Consider the following 21,931-nt stretch of genomic DNA (forward strand, 5'->3'; position numbering starts at 1 on the left):
CTGGACTATGAGGTTGATGATGAGCATGACCTCAAGGCCCCAGCATAGCTAATCCAACCACAGGAAGGCAGGCAGCATCTGGGAGGCCCCATCAGCAAGGCCATGGCCGGCGAGTCCCTGCTCAGACCCCAGAAATCCAAAGTGATTCACGCACAGGTGGGAAGACGCTATCAATACTCACAACTTTAACCAGACACAAGTCTACAGAGGCGACCATCACTAACGTTGAAAATGTCTTGGCTTCTGATTTGAACAGGATCAGACCTCAAGCACGAAATGAATGCTTTAAATAATGGATGTTTTTTCAAGAAACTTAATTTGGTATCACATTGGCCAAGAGGTCATTTGGCGAGGCCAACACACAGTCACAAAGGAAAGGTGGTCCTCAGTGCCACCCAGGCACTCCGCTCGGCCAGCCGGGGGGACCCAGCTGGAGCCATAAAAGGACTGCTCCCAGGTCAACACGAAGGCCTGCCCAAGGACTCCTGCGGCCTTCAAAGATTTGCAGCCTGAGGACAACTTTCAGCAACACCGCGACACTCTAGGTTGTTTTTTCAAAGATTAAACATAATAATAATTCTGTAAAACCAACATGGGTCATCATTAATTACTGCACCGTGACCATGGCTATTTAAAAACCCAGCCTCAGCACAGTAGCTGACAAACATTAATGAGCAGTAATGTACACGTGGTGTTGTCGATGAACGGATAATGAAAGCAATTTATTTGAAAATTAAAACATGATTAAGAATGGCAGCCCAAGCGAGAGCCCAGATGCCTGAAGAAGGCATTCCTGATGGAATGGCCTTCTTCCTCTGACAGTTTTTAATATACAGCACCTTAGCTTGGCCCCTCCTTGGTGCCCAAGACCTAACACTGGAGATGTCAGCTGTGGAGAGTGAGAAGACAAGCCCCTCAGTGGGACATCTCACAGCGCTCCTTAAGAGCAGCGTGTGAAGGGGACACGGACGCTGCATCCTTCCTCACCCAGACAACCCACAGATCCCAAGTCCACCCACACCCAGGACGACGCACAGACCCCACATCCACCCTCACCCAGGATGACGCACAGACCCCACATCCACCCTCACCCAGGACGACGCACAGACCCCACATCCACCCTCACCCAGGACGACGCACAGACCCCACATCCACCCTCACCCAGGACGACGCACAGACCCCACATCCACCCTCACCCAGGACGACGCACAGACCCCACATCCACCCTCACCCAGGACGACGCACAGACCCCACATCCACCCTCACCCAGGATGACGCACAGACCCCACATCCACCCTCACCCAGGATGACGCACAGACCCCACATCCACCCTCACCCAGGACGACGCACAGACCCCACATCCACCCACACCCAGGATGACGCACAGACCCCACATCCACCCTCACCCAGGATGACGCACAGACCCCACATCCACCCTCACCCAGGACGATGCACAGACCCCACATCCACCCTCACCCAGGATGACGCACAGACCCCACATCCACCCACACCCAGGATGACGCACAGACCCCACATCCACCCTCACCCAGGACGACGCACAGACCCCACATCCACCCACACCCAGGATGACGCACAGACCCCACATCCACCCTCACCCAGGATGACGCACAGACCCCACATCCACCCACACCCAGGATGACCCACAGACCCCACATCCACCCTCACCCAGGACGACGCACAGACCCCACATCCACCCTCACCCAGGATGACGCACAGACCCCACATCCACCCTCACCCAGGACGACGCACAGACCCCACATCCACCCTCACCCAGGATGACGCACAGACCCCACATCCACCCTCACCCAGGACGACGCACAGACCCCGCGTCCACCCTCACCCGGGGTGACCCACAGACCCTGCATCCACCCTCACCCAGGACGACGCACAGACCCCACATCCACCCTCACCCAGGACGACGCACAGACCCCACATCCACCCTCACCCAGGACGATGCACAGACCCCACATCCACCCTCACCCAGGACGACGCACAGACCCCACATCCACCCACACCCAGGACGACGCACAGACCCCACATCCACCCTCACCCAGGATGACGCACAGACCCCGCGTCCACCCTCACCCGGGGTGACCCACAGACCCTGCATCCACCCTCACCCAGGATGATGCGCAGACCCCACACCCTGGCAACCCACAGACCCCGCGTCCACCCTCACCTGGGGTGACCCACAGACCCTGCATCCACCCTCACCAAGGATGATGCGCAGACCCCACACCCTGGCAACCCACAGACCCCGTGTCCACCCTCACCTGGGACGACTCACAAACCCTACGTCCACCCTCCCCCAGGATGACCCACAGACGCCATGTCCACCCCTCCCCAGGACAACCCACAGACTCTTCATCCATCCTTGCCCAGACCCCATCACAGCTGGCTGGAGAAGGACGCTGTGAAAACCTCTTTTGCTCTTTCTTGCTGCTCAGGCCATCCACACCTGGCAGAAATCCCCACTGCCCAGTTCCACTGAAGCCCTGGGCTCCAATATTCAGACCTGAGACCCAAACAGCCCTCCAGAGAGAGCTGAGCCACAGACGATCTGGAGCCCCGGAGCCAGCCCTGCCCTCAGGACAGGCTGTTAGCAGATGCCCACCATGGACCTTGGGGGCACTCCCGGACCCTCCTGGGGGATCCTAGGCAGGCATGGATCTGTGTTCCCCCAACACAGATACCAACAAGGGCCCCAGGAAGGTCAGTGCCTGGAGCCAGGTGTGGGCTCACCTTCACCACAGATGGTCTGGCTGGGGCAGGCCCTCCTGAGAACCTGAGCTGGCACTGCCCAGTCCTCACTGTGTCTCTGCCTGAGCCCTGCCTCTCCCTCATCCCCCTCTTCCCAGCTCTTCCCGCTGAGCCTGGACCCTGCCTATGGAGCTCATCCCCGCTTCTCTCCTCCCTTCGTTTCTTGGCCCTGAATCCCAGCCCCTTCCCCATCGTGGGTTCCATCTTTCCTCCGTCTGTCTGTCACTCATCCCGTCCCTGCACCTGTGCTACCATCAACCTCCCAGCCTGGGCCTCTTTTCCATTAACAAACAGCCCAGCCCAGACTAGAAATGCAGAGAAGCCACAGCTGCACCAGCAGGCACCACCTTTCCTGGACCTCCATCGCCCCAGCTCTCCTAACTCAGCTCTGGGCTGTCCAGAGGAGGAGGCAGAAGAGGCCGCCCCTGCCCGCCCGGCCTCAGCCTGGTGTCTCCCAAGGCCAGCACTGTCCTGTGTGGCAAGAGGATGAAGGGACAGAGCCCCTGTGCCCGGCACTTTCCTCAGGCCACCCTGGCCCCAAAGCACAGGAAGAAAAAAATGTCCACAACTCATTTACTCACAGAGAAGAAAAATTTGACTTTATTTGTAATTAAAGATGGCCTAATTAAGGCAATGTGACAATTCTGCCCATCAGACCTCAGAAAGGCAAAGGACTTTGTGGGATAACTCAGGTTGCTGGTGAATGACATGGACTCATCTACATTTTGTTGGGCACAAATTAGGTGTCCCCTCTGCAAGGGACAAATTTGCAACTTGACTGAAGTTTTAAAATGGCCAAGCCCCAGGAGCCCCAGTTTCTCTGCTAAAGATATATTCTAAGGAGATAACTGGATGTGCGTATAAAACCGTAAGTCAGGTTTGTCCATCACAACCACGCTCATCCTGGTGAAAATGCAGAGAATCAGGGAACTCGAGTCCAGATGAGAGGTAGTGGAGAAGGAAGGCAGGGGTCTGAAAGCCCTGCAGATTTCCAAGGGTTAGTGTTCACTTCTGGGGCCCAAACATCCCAGGGGCAGTAGCCCCAAAGCCCCAGATGGGACTGGCTCAGTCACCGTCCCTCTGGGGACCTTGAGTCAGAATTAAGAGTCAGAATTAAAGAGAAGTCTCAAAACGACGCCACTGGAGACACAATCGCAATTCAGGCCACCATGTTGTAGGTGGCCCTGGTCCCCATGATCCATGGAACAGAGGCGGCCCCAGCTGTCTCCGCAGGATTATGCACCGCGCGTCATGAGCCGAGGGGGACAGGACCCGTGGAGCACCACTCTCGAAAGCCCTTTCCCTGGGGCCAGATGGCCAGCACCATGGACAGCAGCTCGCCAGCCTTCGCTGAGCCTCCACCAGAGAGGCAAGGGGAGGACACTAGGGAGGCCAGGAGAGGCTACGGGAGGACGCTCGGGAGGCCACGAGAGGCTACAGGAGGATGCTTGGGAGGCCATGAGAGGCTATGGGAGGACGCTCAGGTGCTCGCAGAGGCCCTGAGAAGCTATGGGAGGATGCTCGGTTGCTTGGGGAGGCCGCCTCCTCCAGAGCCTCTGGAACTAAGTCACACCCACGCTGGAACCACTGCGAGCCCAATTTCGGAAAAAACAAAACATACAAGTGAAACTCAGCCCACAGCTCTGAATTCATTCTCTGACCAGAGAGGTCCTGCAGCCCCGTCGAAGCCTGCACACAATTCCTGGTGAGCGCTTTCCTGACCACCTGACCTGGAAGGGCCTCACCCAGTCTTGATCGTCACATTTCCCAGACAAACATAAAATCGTGCCTGCCTAGGAGAGAACCGCGCATGCTGATACAGTGAGACAGGCAGGGTGCCAGAACTCCGAGGTGAGACACTTAGGGTGTCCCAGGGCGCTCGGCCCCCAGAGCTCTGAGGTGAGAGAGCCAGGAGAGGTCGGGAGGGGGCGGGGCACGGGCCTGGGAAGCGGCTGGCCTGCAGCTCAGGAACCCCAGTGTCTGGGTCTCCACGGATGCCTCTGGCAGGTCAGGGAGAGGAGGTGGCCGATGGAGAGAGTGGATGGAGGAGTCTCTGGTGTTGATCACAGTGGACTAGAATATGACAGAAAAGGGGACTTCAGGCTGGCAGACAACCACACACACACATGCACAGACACACATGCACATGGGGAGACACACACACGCTTCCCCAGACATCGCCTCCTGCCGGACGCTGTTTCATTCTTCTCTTTGAAAGGCGAACGATGAGGCAGTCAGTGACCTTCTAGCCAATGGGGCTTTGGGAACCAAATCAATTCCTTAAGACCAAAAACCCTGCCTCTCACCATGCTTCCCCCAGCAGGGTCTGCAGAGCCCCCATCCTCACTTCATCTGCCTCTCGCCATGCTTCCCACAGCAGGGTCTGCAGAACCCCCATCCTCACTTCACCTGCCTCTCGCCATGCTTCCCCCAGCAAGGTCTGCAGAGCCCCCATCCTCACTTCACCTGCCTCTCGCCATGCTTCCCACAGCAGGGTCTGCAGAGCCCCCATCCTCACTTCACCTGCCTCTCGCCATGCTTCCCCCAGCAGGGTATGCAGAGCCCCCATCCTCACTTCACCTGCCTCTCGCCATGCTTCCCACAGCAGGGTATGCAGAGCCCCCATCCTCACTTCGTATTCAGGTAAGTGTGACCAAGAATGTCTCTTTTTCTGGTTTATAAATCAATTTTTTAAAGATCTCCTAAGATCTGAGAATACAAGCAAAGAGACAGTCACATGTAAGCTTAATAATGAGGTTCATATTAAAGGCAGACAGATGTTCAATTAAACATCAGACTTCACGCTGACACGCTGAGAGTGAGGATCTCCATGCATAATTCTCCGTCCCAGCCCCAGATCCCGGGAGTTTTGATCACACAGCTGGGAAGTCGTCATCCAAGCCTCGGATGTGTTTGTGGGGCATCGTCTATAGCCGGGGCTCCTCCCCTCTCTCTGTCCACACACACAGGTCTCCAGGCATGTTTACCTCTAAATACACACCCTGCCAAGGACTGTGGCCTGGAAAGTCATAGGCACTTGACTTCTACCAAAAAAGAAATAACGGAACGGCATGAGAATGGTCACACCTGAGCAGGCAGCTAACAGCAACAGGTTCACTACACACAACCACCCTTGCACATATGCGTGTGCACCCACAACACACACATTCACACACACACACGCATGTGCACACACAACACATACATACATTCATACAGACACACACGTTCTCACCCTAAAGTCATGGTCAAATTGGGTGGTTTACTCCACACTATTTTAATAAATAGCCTTCACTCTTCAGACACAATCTGAAAAAACCCCAGACTCGAAAGCGTTTCCCATAACTCAGGACAAGGAATCACGCAAGTGGGAAACCGTCCTTGCGAGCGCCTCACGTGAGCCACAGTCACCGCACAAAGTCTCCATCGCGTTGGACGGTCCGTGGGAATTTCTCAGGGCTCCGGAGGCCAGCGGGGCTGGAGGCAGACCTCATCGGCACTTCTGACAACGGCAATTTTTGTGCTCCTCACAACCAACGAGGGTGTGATTTTTCCCATCTGTCTTCCCTTCCTCACCCCTCCCTTCCCCTTCTCTTCCCTTTGTCTCTCCTCCCTCTCTTCCTACAAAAGAAATCACATGACATCGATTCCCTGATATTCAGATCAATCAGCTGGAGTGACAGGAAACACGTTCGCTCCCATTGGAAACAGCACGTGCTCCAGCAGAGCTCAGGTGTTGTTGAAGCCCGTTAGAACTGGCATGCGTGGAGTCTGCTCCCATGCATGCATGCACACGCACACACACCCACAGCATCCCTGGGAGAAGCCGCAGCCCAATGCACACGCACACACACAGCATCCCTGGGAGAAGCCGCAGCCCAATGCACACATGCACACGCACACACACCCACACACACACAGCATCCCTGGGAGAAGCCGAAGCCCAGTGCACACGTGCATACACACACACACACCCACACACACACAGCATCCCTGGGAGAAGCCGCAGACCAGTGCATGCGTGCACACACACACACCCACACACACACAGCATCCCTGGGAGAAGCCGCAGCCCAATGCACGCGTGCACACACACACACACACTGCATCCCTGGGAGAAGCCACAGCCCAATGCACACATGCACATGCACACATGCACACACACCCACAGCATCCCTGGGAGAAGCTGCAGCCCAATGCACGTGTGCAAATACACACACACACAGCATCCCTAGAAGCTGCAGCCCAATGCACGCGTGCACACACACACGCACACACACACAGCATCCCTAGAAGCTGCAGCCCAATGCACGCGTGCACATGCACACACACCCACACACCCACAGCATCCCTGGGAGAAGCTGCAGCCCAATGCACGTGTGCAAATGCACACACACACACAGCATCCCTAGAAGCTGCAGCCCAATGCACGCGTGCACATGCACACACACCCACACACCCACAGCATCCCTGGGAGAAGCTGCAGCCCAATGCACGTGTGCAAATGCACACACACACCCACAGCATCCCCGGGAGAAGCCACAGCCCAATGCACGCGTGCAAACGCACACACACCCACACACCCACAGCATCCCTGGGAGAAGCCACAGCCCAATGCACGCGTGCACACGCACACACACCCACACACCCACAGCATCCCTGGGAGAAGCTGCAGCACATGTGTAAGCTGCCAATACCCTGCACACGGCTCTGTGACTGGAGATAATGAGGAATCGCCATGGCAACCCGGGAACAAGCCCACAGCGCCTTGTTTCCCCGAACGCAGAGCCCCGGCAGCCCCTCCATCCACCGAGACATACACGGCTGGAAGGACGTGGTGCTGCGGACCATGGGTGGTTCTTCTGCCACATTTGCTGGGACTTGTCCTAAGGACATTTTCAATTTCTGAAATCAGTCGCCATTGACGGCCAGGGTTCTCATTCCTGAATTTTTGTCTTTGCTTCTGGTTACCAGAGATCCAAAGCTGCAGTCGTTTAGCTGGTTTCTGTTTCCAGGGGTATTGTGAATGGAAATAAACCATGAAAATGACCGAAGACGTCACAAGGAAAGCAAATAGGATTTAAAACAGCAAAGCGGTGCCTTTGCCAATTCCAGGGAGTGTTTCTGCTACATAACCCTGTCTGTGCTGGGCAGTGCCGCTCCCGTGCACCCAGGACTGGAAAAGCATAGCTTAGGGGTTCAGGGGAGAAACAGTGACCTCTGCATCAGAAAAGTCCTAGATAAGTTGCCAGGAAAGGCAACAGCACCTGGAATGAGAGACAAGCTCAGGACTCGTGCCCCAGGCTGCAGGGACACCCACAGAGCTGACTTCTCCTCGGTCAACCAGCCCCCAGTGCTCGGAAGCATCTGGCCCAGGCACAAGCATGCTCCTGCTGCTACGGCAGCTGAATTGGGAAGTATGGCGGGGGCACAGATGCCCCAGGTGGACGGCCAGGCCTCTGGTCCACACACAGGCATTCACTCCCCATGTGGCCATGAGCCCCCGATTCTCCAAGTCCTGTGTTCTCACCTGTAAAATACGGAAGCTATGCTAGACAACTGCTGACTTCCCTCACCTGAGCTCTGTGGTACTCAGATATCCTCACTGGTGGGAAAGGGAAAGGCCACGGCCATCATGGGCAGGAGGACGCAGTGGTTCACAGGATGGAGGCACCAACTGGGAGGCTGGGCGGTGGCACTCACACTGTGCTGGAGTCAGGCTGGCTCCTGGGGAGCACGTCAGTCACCTGCTTAATTCACCATGGGTTAGCTCTCCGCGGGCGAAGGATGACGAAATTACGTTGTAAGTGAGCCTCAGCATTCTGTCCTTTGGAAATAGCCCCAAGAAGTCTGGGATAAGCTCTATTAATGTTAGTTTTTTTCCAGAGAGTAAAAAATAAGCTCTTGAACCCATCCATGGCTATCAGAATGAAGGAAAAGTCGTTTGACCTCCTTGGCCCAGAGCCCATCAGATGCTCAGTCATTCCCCTCTAAAATGCAACTCTCTCCATAATGAGTTCATTTTCAAAAGATTCAATTATATGGACCGTTTCTCCAGACGGTTTACAAATTTCAACCATGGCAGCAGCATTTGGGAATGGCTCATCTGCTCCCACCATAACTTAGGGCCATGTTCCTGTTTCAAGACACCAAATTCCTGAGTTTGACTTTCCCTTCTGCAAGTTTCCCAGAGGAGGAAAACCTTTAAATTGAGCTGAGGAAAGAACAATATTTGACCAGCACCAGAAGTCACCGAGCATTTTAATACAAACCTTATTGATGAGGCTTTACTGTCCACACCACTGCATATCTAAGTCAGAGAATTTGTCCTGTAATTCCATAACTTCAACAGGGCAAACGTTTACAGTACAGGTTGATTCTAGAGCCTCCTGCACCGGCCTCCCAGGATATTCGGCAGCAGGCTGAACCCAACTGGAACATCCCTACCAGGAGAGAAGCGGGACCCTGTAACAGCTGCCACAGCTTCCCTGGGAGGCCCCCGCTTGTGTTGACTTCAGAGAAGCAAATCTTGACTTTTCTTAGCGACTACCTAAAGCTTTCATTACAAACTTTCTTGAAAAAGAAAAAATGGTATTCCTACCAGCATCACTGGCTGGGCTAGCACTGATCACAGTGATGACCAGGTAGATGAAGTAGGGTTTCCATACATGATGGAAGCCGACAGCCACACTTTGAAAAGCTCAGTGTGGACTTTTAGGTGAAGTTCATATGAAACTGTTAGTTCCTGGCCCGGCCCGCCCGCACAGTAAATGAGAAATGACAGGTGTGGAAGCCAGGAGGCCACTGCTTTGCTGCACAGGGACGTCCAAGGACCAAGGCACAGAGCAGCTGGGGGGCTCCCCAGGGAGGAAGGACAGCACTCAGCCCCCTCCCCTGCAGGTCCCTCAGAGACCCAAGGCCCAGCTGGGCCCCACCATCCTCGACCCCCCAAGTCTTCCTCCTTGCTGTGGCCACACAGAAACTGTAATTTTAGGACGAGAGCTCTGCCAGACAGAGGTGAAGAGGCAGGAATTGTGTGGGGTCCAGAGGAACCAGAGTGTGATGGTTAACACTGAGTGTCAACTTGATTGGATTGAAGGATGGAAAGTATTGATCCTGGGTGTGTCTGTGAGGGCGTTGCCGAAGGAGATTCACATTTGGGTCAGTGGACTGGGAGGGGCAGACCCACCCTCAGTCTGGGTGGGCACCATCTAATCAGTCGCTGGCATGGCCAGAATATAAAGCAGGCAGAATATCGTGACAAGACTAGACTGGCCTAGCCTCCCAGCCTACATCTTTCTCCCATGCTGGATGCTTCTTGCCCTTGAACATTGGACTCCAAGTTCTTCAGCCTTGGGACCTGGACTGGCTCTCCTTGCAGACAGCCTATTGTGGGACCTTGTGATCATGTGAGTTAATACTTAGTAAACTCCCCTTTATATATATATACACACATACACACACACACACACACACACATATATATACCTATAAAGTTATATACATACACGTATATGTAACTAATATGATATATATATATCTGCCCCTCTAGAGAACCCTGACTAATACACAGAGTGTCCAAAAGTGAATCACTCAACACATGGTGAGGGTGCCGGGGGTCAGAACAGGACCCCCCCAACCTGGGGCCACTGGGCAGATGCTATCAGCACCAGGCTGACTTGAGGCCACACATGGCATCTGCCTGAACCGAGAGGAAACGCCTCCCACTGTCCAGTAGAGAAAGTAAAAGGGCCAAGGGGAATCTGCTCATTCACCAATCTGTTTATTGGTAAATATCAGCCCTGATTACACATTTCCCGTTATAAGGATAAAAACGTGAAAACATAGTTACAAACATACACAGAGAAACTGGAACACTGAAACAGAAAAACCATGTGAGAGCCACAAAATGATTCTGTAGCACGGAAAAGGCAAACCTACATTGAAGGTACAGGAAAATAAATAGGTTTTAAAAATTACAGTTGGAAACCCATGTAAATTCTAAAAAGCATCTGATTTGTGTTCTCAAATTTAAGAAAATGACAACCATAAAAAGCAAGATAACAGCACTCCAGAAGTCCCCGACCTGACTGGGCGGCAGACAGACTGAGAAGGAAGTCTGTGAAGAGGACAGTGTGGTCTCAGCGGGCAGGAGGCCCAGTCAGAAACACCGAGGGCAGAACTGTCCCGGGAAGTCACCTCAGTCACACGAAAGCCACCGTGAACAGGAGCTTAGCTACAGACGATGGGAACGAGGTGATCAACACTGCAGGAGAAACTGGTGCACGGCGGTGACTGACTGGGGATTTGGCATAAGGACAACTGCCTTTTAAAGGCTGGGAGAGGCCAGCGCAGTGGCTCATGCCTGTAATCTCAACACTTAGGGAGGCCGAGGCACACCGATCACCTGAGGTCAGGAGTTTGAGAGCAGCCTGGCCGACACGGCAAAACCCCATCTCTATTAAAAATACAAAAATTAGCTAGGTATGGTGACACACCTGTAGTCCCAGTTACTCGAGAGGCTGAGGCAGGAGAATTGCTTGAACCTGGGAGGCAGAGGTTGCAGTGAGCCGAGATTGTACCACTGCACTCCAGCCTGGGTGACAGAGCGAGACTCCATCTCAAAAATAAAAAGAAAAAATAAATAAAGGCTGGGAGGGCTGGGCGCAGTGGCTCACGCCTGTAATCCCAGCACTTTGGGAGGCCGAGGCGGGTGGATCACGAGGTCAGGAGACTGAGACCATCCTGGCCAACACGGTGAAACCCCGTCTCTACTAAAAATACAATAAATTAGCTGGGCGTGGTGGTGGGCACCTGTAGTCCCAGCTACTCAGGAGGCTGAAGCAGGAGAATGCCATAAACCCAGGAGGCGGAGCTTGCAGTGAACCAAGATTGCACCACTGCACTCCAGCCTGGGTGACAGAGCGAGACTCCTGTCTCAAAAAAATTTTTAAAAATCAATCAATCAATAAAGGCTGGGAGAACCAGAATAAATGAAAGAAAGCAACATGCAAAAGTGGAATACAAAAAAACTTCCACTTCCAAAGATGCTCATCTGAAGATTCAGAGTTTACTAAATACCACACAAAATTAACAATTTTTAAAACACCCTTACACACAACTGTTTTTGAATTCTAAAGAATCAAACGAACTATCACAATGAAAGAGTTTTGGTAGAGCAGCCCATTATAAGAAAAAAAGTAAAAAATGTAGCAGCAATTGTCATTTGGGAAATATGAGAAAAAATAATCTCACTCGGTCATAACGAAAAATTTTCAGATACCTAGGAACAAACTTGACCAGGTATGTGACTGCGCAGGGAAGAAACACGGGCCCACAGTGTGGACAAGGATAACACGGCCAAGTGACCCTGACAGCAACATGGATCTCCAATGGCTTAGATGGATTCAAGTAAAACCTTTTTTTGGTAGGAAAAATTTAGGTGAAAAAAAGGAAGGAAAAAATTAGGTGAATAGTTATCAGATCCTATAATAAGAGAGACTTCCTAAACAAGCAAAGGAAAGCAAAAAAAAAAAAGATTAATTTCACTTCATGAAGATTTAACCTTCTATTTTTAAATACATGAGAATAAAATATATCCTTATGTTTTATTTGATTAACATTTGTAACAATTTTACCAATAAAATTCATAAAAGAAAACATAAACTTAGCATAAGAAATGAAAACCAAAACGAGGAGGCATATTTTCCTACACAATTAAAATTCTTCACTAATAAACATCCACATTGATGACCTTGTGACGCAACAAGCACCTCACGCTTGAGAGAGGAACTTTATGCAAGTTCTCGGAAGGAAAATTCAGCAACTCTCAAAAATGCACACACCAAGTGACCTAGGAATTTCACTTCTAGGGGAATGTTCTAAGGAAATGATTCATATGCGGAAAACCGTTCGTTTTCAAAGATGTGCTTACTAAGAATCAGACATTGAGAAACAAAGGAATTTCCAACCGTAGGTGAATAATTAAATTACACCACATTAAAGATCATATTTATAAAACAGATAACGTGACATGCTCAAGATATAGTACTTATTGAGAAAAGGAATATAAACCCATGGATGTAATTTTCTAAAAGGGAGAGATGAACCTCACACAGCTGGACGTAGCGCACTCAGCGTCCGTCGTGGCCCCGGGGATGAGGTTCTGTGAGTCACGCCACAGACACCCTCTGCCATCAGCCCTCCTGGGCGCTGGCTGTGTGCGGAAGACCCCCTCGCAGGGCCACACCTTCCGGGGATGAGCACCTCTGGCTGAGCACTGCAGGCACAGAGGGAGGCTTGCCCCGAGCCCCAGCAGCTCTAAGAGGTCCCCGTGGAGTCTCACCTGCCCACCCCGTGCTGGTCCCCAGAGCTGGACCCCCAACGCTGGTCCCCGGAGCTGGACACCCCCAGGCTGGACCCCGGAGCTGGCCTCCCCAGTGCTGGTCCCCAGAGCTGATCCCCCCAACGCTGGTCCCCGGAGCTGGTCCCCCCAACGCTGGTCCCCGGAGCTGGTCCCCCCAACGCTGGTCCCTGGAGCTGGACACCCCCAGGCTGGACCCCAGAGCTGGCCTCCCCAATGCTGGTCCCCAGAGCTGGTCCCCCCAACACTGGTCCCCGAAGCTGGTCCCCCCAATGCTGGTCCCTGGAGCTGATCCCCCCAATGCTGGTCCCCAGAGCTGGTCTCCCATGAGCTGGTACCCGGAGCTGGTCCCCCCATGCTGGTCCCCAGAGCTGGTCTCCCCTGTGCTGGTCCCTGGAGCTGGTCCCCCCAACACTGGTCCCTAGAGCTGGTCCCCACCACGCTGGTCCCCGGAGCTGGTCCCCACCACGCTGGTTCCCGGAGCTGATCTCCACCACGCTGATCCCCAGAGTGCCCCAAGACAGCCCCAGCATCTAGTCACCCTCTGATTCAGCTTCATGGGCATCTCCCTTTTGGTTTTTATTTCTGTTTTTTATACAGCTTGCATTATCTTTAAGTGCAGGAAAAAATATATATATTAAGCAAACAAATCAAAAGGCATGCATAGTCCTGACAGGCAGAGTTCTCCAGGCTGTGATTCAGCACCCAGGGTCCAAGCAGCCACATAGGGCTGCTAAGACTCCCCGACCTGACAGCTTCCGGGCATCCCTCCTGCAATCTGGGGCCACCTGGCCACTCTAGAACACCGAAGGTAACACTGAGCAGGGCCACTACAGGGAGGCTGCCAGAGGATGCGCTGCACAGGGCAGCACGGCCGAAGGTTCCACCCAGCGGCCTCTTAAATCAAGGACTTCCAGGCAGAGGAAACTCCTGTGGCCACACCCCCAAGATGGCTTTGTCTGTAAAGGAGCGTTAACATCGGCATTTATAAGACTAATATGACAGCAGATGTGCTTTCCTCTGACGCCCGTACGCTGCGGAATCGCATTATGGAAATAGAGTGCCAAATGGATGCCTTGACCTCGGGGCCCGGCCTATTCTGCACAAAGATGACTTCTGAAATGAGTTTTTTGCTATAATTTGCTCTTGCCTTTGCTAAAAGGTTGAAGGCACTTCTATTCCAACTGAGTGTGAGTAACGCTAATTTCATAGCGTTAGCTGCATGTTCTTAAGCACGTTTATCTTCAGCAAGTACAGTTCTGTTGATTGAAAGAAAGAAATATTTCTTTTTAGTAAACTAGTATTCCCAAAGGCTGACAGACCATCTTTGTATCACACACAGTTACTAAGGGTTCCTTTGCTTAATCTCTTCAGAGGAAAAACAGACCAGCTGCCACTGAAGCAAACGAAGTCTCTCCTGGCACCCACATTTGGTTGTTTTAGGTTTGGAGATGGTTTTCTGTGCAATTAATGTGATTCATCCATCTTTGAAATGAAGAATTACACTGCAGTGCGGCCAGTTCCCACCGGATGAAAGTTGAAGAAGGAGCAGGATTGGAAATATTCAAATAAATAGCAACTGTTTCAGCCCATGCACCTGCAGAGTAGCAGCCAGCCTGCAGGCCAGGAAAGGGAGACGCTCTCATCCGGCAGCATCTGGGCGCCCTCTCTGGATGGGAGTGTGGGGAGGGCCCTCCCGTCTCTCTGCGTCTCAGCCTTTGCCAAGCCCAGCATTCTGTCTCTGCCTACCTGGTGCATGGATAACTCTCAAATGCACAGATGAGAAGATGAGACGCTGTGGGTGCTGGGCTGGGCCCTGAGGGAAACGGGCAGAGTGTGATGACTGTTCCCACGGTGGCAACACGACGCCCACGCGCCCGGCACTGGAGTCAGGGCTCAGGCAGCGGGCCCTTCTGACCCTCGCAGTGGCCCTTCTGACCCTTGGGGCAAGTGCACTTACCATCCCCACCGCAAACAGAGGAAACAGAATCTAGAGCTGAGGGGTTTGCTCTGGGTCCAAGCAGCAGTGAAGGGGAAGAGCTGGGTCTCAAACACCAAAAATCCAATCACAAAGCTCCCTTGTCAGGAGGAGGGAGCCACCTCCAGGACAGACCACTGGAAATGGAACTCTCCACAAACACCAACTCAAAAGGCCAATGCTGCAGGCCAAGAACACACTGGCAAAAGGCTGCAGAGCCACCCACACACTCACTCGCTCCTGTGAAACCAGACCCTGCAGCTCCTCATAGACACACACCTCAATATCAACAGCGCAGAAACTCCACTCCTGGACACTAGCCCGAGAGAAACAAAACACGATCTGTAAAAAGGATTGTACAAGAATGTTTAGAGAGACTTTATTCATAGGCGCCAAAAACTGAAGAAAGAAAAAAAGAAAGAACAAAGCCCGTCAACAGGAAAGTGGGTTTGAAACATGGCGCATCCACTCAATGGAACTCCCCTCAAAACAGAGACAAACCGTCCACACACAGCAAGTGGACAGATGGAGGCTGGAGGCAGAAATTAAAGAATGCCCTGCGGAAATCCAGAACAGCAAGCTTTAGACCTGGAGAAACCAAGCATATCGTGCAAAGGAATGGGAGAAGTCATTTCCGGGGCGGGGATGTGGTTTCATGGGAACTTTCTGGGTGATGTAAATGTTCTAAGTCACAGCACAGGCAGGGGCTGCATGCTGGGTGCATTTGCCAAAACTCACAGAATTGAATACTTCAAGTCTACAGATTTCTACTATATGTAACATTTAACTGGGAAAATGTAACAGAAAATAATAAAGGGTGGGGCTAAAATCCCTTCCTGCTTAAAAACACAGAGCATGGTGGCCTGAGGCGCAGAGGAAAAGATAGATGAGAAACTCCACATCCCCGAGGCTCAGCAGCAGACGTATTTCATGGGGGAAACCAGCTCTCAGCTGCTTCACGTGGCAGTGAGACCCTAAATATGAGAGGCAGTGGCCGGCCAGAGCATGAAGTCAGAAAGGTGCCTAAACCTGGCAGCACTGGGCCTCCCCACAGCTCCCAACTCACCAGAATTATACCAGGCAAGTGCCCACAGGGCATCAGCAGAGGGCTTGTCATGTGATTCACTGCTCATTTAGTCCCTCATTCAGCAAATGTTTACAGAGTACCCAGGACACAGGCATAGTCCAGGCACAATGAGGGCAGCAGACAAGGCAGCTGTGTCTTGGGGCAGACATTTTAGGAGAGCATGCAAGGCAGCCAGGCTCAAGCTCCTGGTGTGGCCAAACCCAGCCATCTCGGGGATGTGGTGGGACAGCACAGCTGAACATTAAATCCATTGCAACTACAGTTTTCCCTGAGAAAAGCATCACTGATATGGGCAGGTGGCAGAAAAATTCTGGGTAGAAGAGGGTAGTTCCCCGGCAAAGGCCCCGCCCTCAAGCCTGGAAACCTGTGGCCCTCAATGGGAACAGGCATTCCTGTTTTTGTGCCCAAATGTTGCCTTTTGGCCTCCCATGCCTGCCTATCCTGTACCCATGTAAATGCCAAGCCCCAGGCTCCACTAGTGGAAGAGCGGAGGAACAGAAGAGTGGCGTGTCAGGGAAGGAGAGAAGAGAAGGAGCGTGTGAATGTCAAGAGGAGTTCGGCTGGGGACAGTCAGAAAGGAGATTGGCTGCGGGACGGCCAAACTCCAGGGGAAGATCCCTTCCCACTCCATCCCCTCTCCAGCTCCCCATCCATCCCACTGAGAGCCACCTCCATCCAGCAGTAAAATCCCCCACATTTGCCATCCTTCAATTTGTCCCTGTGACCTGATTCTTCCTGGACGCCAGATAAGAACCTGGGTATCAACAGGGCACTGAGCTGGTTAATACTTAAGCCATCTGTGGGTGGCAACTGCTAAAAGAGCACTGTAGCACACCCACCGCGGCTTTGGGAGTCACAGACACCCCACCCCTGGATGCTACTGCAGGGCCAGAGCCCAAAAGCACTCACCCCGGCTCCTGCACCTGCCTATCTGTGTGCTCTCCCTTCCCTAAGGCTCTTTGAGCACGCAGCAGCCAAACAGATGAGCCACACCCGTCACACGTCCTGCATGCAGGGTCAGGGGACTCCCCCACAGCCCTGTCACACGTCCTGAGAGGGGGGTCAGGGGACTCCCCCACGGCCCTGTCACACGTCCTGCACGTGGGGTTAGGGGACTCTCCCACAGTCCTGTCACACGTCCTGCGAGGGGGGGTCAGGGGACTCCCCCATGGCCCTGTCATACGTCCTGAGGGAGGGGTTCAGGGGACTCTCCCACATCCCTGTCACACGTCCTGAGAGGGGGGTCAGTGGACTCCCCTACAGCCCTGTCACACGTCCTGAGAGGGGGGTCAGGGGACTCTCCCACATCCCTGTCACACATCCTGCACGCGGGGTCAGGGGACTCTCCCACAGCCCTGTCACACGTCCTGAGAGGGGGGTCAGGGGACTCCCCCACAGCCCTGTCACACGTCCTGCATGCGGGGTCAGGGGACTCCCCCACAGCCCTGTCACACGTCCTGCACGCGGGGTCAGGGGACTCTCCCACAGCCCTGTCACACGTCCTGAGAGGGGGGTCAGGGGACTCCCCTACAGCCCTGTCACACGTCCTGAGAGGGGGGTCAGGGGACTCTCCCACATCCCTGTCACACATCCTGCACGCGGGGTCAGGGGACTCTCCCACAGCCCTGTCACACGTCCTGAGAGGGGGGTCAGGGGACTCCCCCACAGCCCTGTCACACGTCCTGCACGCGGGGTCAGGGGACTCCCCCACAGCCCTGTCACACGTCCTGCACGCGGGGTCAGGGGACTCTCCCACAGCCCTGTCACATGTCCTGAGACGGGGGTCAGGGGACTCCCCCACAGCCCTGTCACACGTCCTGAGAGGGGGGTCAGGGGACTCCCCCACAGCCCTGTCACACGTCCTGAGAGGGGGGTCAGGGGACTCCCCCACAGCCCTGTCACACGTCCTGAGAGGGGGGTCAGGGGACTCCCCCACAGCCCTGTCACACGTCCTGAGAGGGGGGTCAGGGGACTCCCCCACAGCCCTGTCACACGTCCTGAGAGGGGGGTCAGGGGACTCCCCCACAGCCCTGTCACACATCAAGCACGCGGGGTCAGGGGATGCTCCTGTTTCATCATGAATCTGGTAGCAATTAGGTGCGTGTGTGTTAATAAAATCTCCATGTGTTATGGAAAAATAGTTAAATGTAAAATGTATCGGTCTTCACCAAAGAAGAGCAAGGGATGGCCAGTAAGTGCAGGAAGAGACAGCCAGCATCATCACGCATAAGAAAAGGGGACCCCACTTGGACACCACCACGAACCCACAGGCTGGGGAGGAAACCCCAGCAATGCAGAGTGCTAGGGAGGAGGCAGGCAACTGGCTGGCTCGGCTTGGGGGTGGAAATGCACACACAATTTTCCCGGGACTCAGCAATCACAGGCTTTGTCATGGACCCAAGAGGAATGAAAATGGAGTTCACAGGAAACCGGCATCGGTGGTTTATCACAGCTTTACGCACGACAGCTGAAAAGTGGAACAATCCAAATGTCCGCAGCTGGAGAGCTGACTTTCTTACACCCATTCCAGGGACACTACCTGGTAATACCAAGGGACGGGCTGCTGGTACGGCCCTGCACGGAGGGTGCTCAAGGGCAGGGTGCAGGCAGAAGCCTCCCCCACAGTCCACACAGCACAGGGCCCGTGGCTACAACACAGACACAGCAAGCACAGCACAGAACCAGATCCATGAGGGCAAGGAAGAGCTCTGTGTGGTCCAGATGTGACACAGCCAGTCCTGGCGCTAGCTCCGGGTTTTCTGGGTGTAACACAGCCAGTCCTGATGCCAGCTGTGGGTTTTCCAGGTGTGACACGGCAGGTCCTGGACCTGGCTCCGGGACTATACACCTCCTCCTGACTCCTCCAGCTGTGCACTTAGAAACCGCATTTTACTGCATACAAATCATATGATTATACAAACCTGAACAAACCTGACACAAAAGCAAATAAAAGCTATTGGCCTCAGGACAACCCTTGACCTTGACAATGGCTTTTTTACATAATGGTTGGAGGCTGTCCCCTCAGCTCTTGACATTCGCTCCCCAGGGCATGAGTTTTCCTAAAGGGGCCTGCAAGCCCCGCCTGCTGCCCAGAGGCTTCCCCAGGCACCTCCTTCTTGGTGCAGGAGGGCCCTGGACCCACTAGGGACTTAAGCTCCTTTTCCACAGAAACACAGCAATGGTTCTGAAGGGGGAACCGCAGGTCCCAGTGACTCATGGTGACCACACGCCTGCATCCGAGGATGACTTCAGCCCCCTGTCCTCTCCCCACAGTGAGCTGCTCCCCACAGGCCCCCTCTATTGCGAATGCCCTGAGTCAAGCTGCCCAGTCTTCATCCAGTTATGCTGAAAACCCCACTCTTGGTTCTCTGCCTTGATATCACCACGTTTCCAAAGAAAGTGTGCAAAACTCCTGGGCTTTGGAGTCCAGCACACTCCAGGGTCCAGGGTCCAGGGTCCAGGGTCAACATCCAACTCAGTTGCTTTCTGGTTATAGGCTCAGGCAGGCACATTTGTCAAAGAGGTGTTTTAATCAATACATTGAAGATAATGATAATTCCTTCCATGCAGCACTGGTATTAGTAATAGCTGAGATATTATATATAAAATACTTGACAAAATTCTTACCAGAAAAGGCTGGTTGGCTGTTACGATCAAGGGGACTTTAATGGGATGGGGAGAAGACCCCGCTCCCAGTCCTGTCATCTGTGAATTTGTTATTAATAAGTATTTATTGACAGTGCATCTGCACGCACTCCTGTCTCTCAGAGCTGTGGAGGGGAAGAGCTCCCTGCAGGGTGAGGCAGGGTGCGGGGTGAGAAGTGCTGGGTTAGGACAGGGGCTGCACCTGCCAGGCCTGGCCCTGTGTGCATGGAAGGGGTGGGAGAGCCCCCAGAGTGGGGAAGGCTCATAGGCTGCCCCCTAGAGCAGAGAACAGCAAGGTCAGGTGTCCACACGTAGGATGCTCCCTCCAGCAGCCTGCAGAAGGGGCTGCGGACCCCAGGGTGGGGGTGACTGGGGTTGGCAGGAGGACCGGGGTAGGGAATACGGTTCTGCTGTGCAACACGCCTCTGCAGCAGTGGCAGCCAAGACCCACCTTCATAGATGGTGTCTGTTCAGTAAATGTTTGATGAAAGCAAAGACAGGAACAGAGGAGGGGAGGGAAGGAAGGGTGGGACAAAGAGCCACACTAATTACACAGGAAGGAAAAGCTGCATCCTCAGAAACTGCAGCCAAACTCACACTCACAGCCCACAGGTGGGGGGCTCCCAAGAAATGGTACAGACGAAAGACAAAAACAACTCCGAACTCAAACTCACACCTCACGGGTGGAGCAGGGTTCCTAAGAAATAGCACAGACAAAGATGGAGAAGACTCCACATTCAAACTCACAGCACAGCCCACAGGTGGGGCGGGGTTCCTAAGAAACAGCACAGATGAAACAGAAAGACTCCAAGAAGGCCAAAGTCAGTAGACCCACAAGAGGTTCATGGGGGTTCAGGTGGATGGGGACCCCCTAGCTGTATTAGTCCTTTTTCATGCTGCTAATAAAGACATACCTGAGACTGGGTAATTTATGCAGGAAAGAGGTTTAATGGACTCACAATTCCACATGGCTGGGGGGGCCTCACAATCATGGTGGAAGGCAAAGAGGAGCAAAGTCACATCTCACATGGATGACAGCAGGCAAAGAGAGCTTGTATGGGGAAACTCCCCCTTATAAAACCATCAGATCTTGTGAGGTTTAGTCACTATCAGGAGAACAGCAAGGGAAAGACCCACCCCTATGATTCGATTACCTTCCAACGGGTCCCTCCCACAACATATGGGAATTATGGGAGCTGCAATTCAAGATCAGATTTCAGTGGGGACACAGCCAAACCATATCATTATGCCCCTGGCCTCTCCCAAATCTCACGTCCTCACATTTTAAAACCAATCATATCTTCCCAACAGCCCCCCAAAGTCTTAACTCATTTCAGCATTAACTCAAAAGCCCACAGTCCAATGTCTCATCTGAGACAAGGCAAGTCCCTTCCACCTATGAGCCTGTAAAATCAAAAACAAGTTACTTGTTTCCTAGACATAATGGAGGCATAGGTATTTGTTAAATACAGCCATTCCAAATGGGAGAACTTGGCCAAAACAAAGAGGCTACAGGCCCCACGCAAGTCTGAAATCTAGCAGGGCAGTCAAATCTTAAAGCTCCAAAATGATCTCCTTTGACTCCATGTCAAACATCTGGGTCATGGTGATGCAAGAGGTGGGTTCTCATGGTCTTGGGCAACTCTGCCCCTGTGGCTTTGCAGAGTAAAGCCTCCCTCCCAGCTGCCTTCACGGGCTGGCATTGAGTGTCTGAGACTTTTCCAGGCACACAGTGCCAGTTGTTGGTAGATCTACCATTTTGGGGTCTGGAGGACCGTGGCCCTCTTCTCACAGCTCCACTAGACAGTGCCCCAGTAGGGACTCTGTGTGCAGGTTCCAACTCCACATTTCCCTTCTGCACTGCCCTAGCAGAGGTTCTCCATGAGGGCCCCACCCCTGGAGCCAACTTCTGCCTGGGCATCCAGGCATTTCCATACATCTTCTGAAATCTATGCAGAGGTTCCCAAACCCCAGTACTTGACTTCTGTGCACCTGCAGGCTCAACACTATGTGGAAGCTGCCAAGGCTTGGGGCTTGCCCCCCTCTGAAGCCACAGCCTGAGCTCCACATTGACTCA

General features: G+C 53.3%; 1 protein-coding gene across 13 annotated transcripts in view, besides 1 other annotated feature; it reads right to left on the reverse strand.

The window, feature by feature from the left end:
• The window catches only part of PTPRN2 (protein tyrosine phosphatase receptor type N2), a 1,048,768-nt gene that overhangs the window by 819,976 nt on the left and 206,861 nt on the right, over nt 1-21,931 (reverse strand). The gene's annotated exons all lie outside the window — the stretch shown is intronic.
• Nucleotides 15,177-16,376: an enhancer, noted in NCBI's record as "P300/CBP strongly-dependent group 1 enhancer chr7:158166900-158168099 (GRCh37/hg19 assembly coordinates)". NCBI's record gives its function as "activates an origin of replication core promoter dependent on BRD2, BRD4, P300/CBP, MED14 and CDK7 cofactors, with strong dependence on P300/CBP, by STARR-seq in HCT116 cells {active_cell/tissue: HCT116}" and the evidence as "EXISTENCE:reporter gene assay evidence [ECO:0000049][PMID:35650434]".

The sequence above is a fragment of the Homo sapiens genome, chromosome 7 (assembly GCF_000001405.40).
Source record: "Homo sapiens chromosome 7, GRCh38.p14 Primary Assembly".
Taxonomy (NCBI): Eukaryota; Metazoa; Chordata; class Mammalia; order Primates; family Hominidae; genus Homo; species Homo sapiens.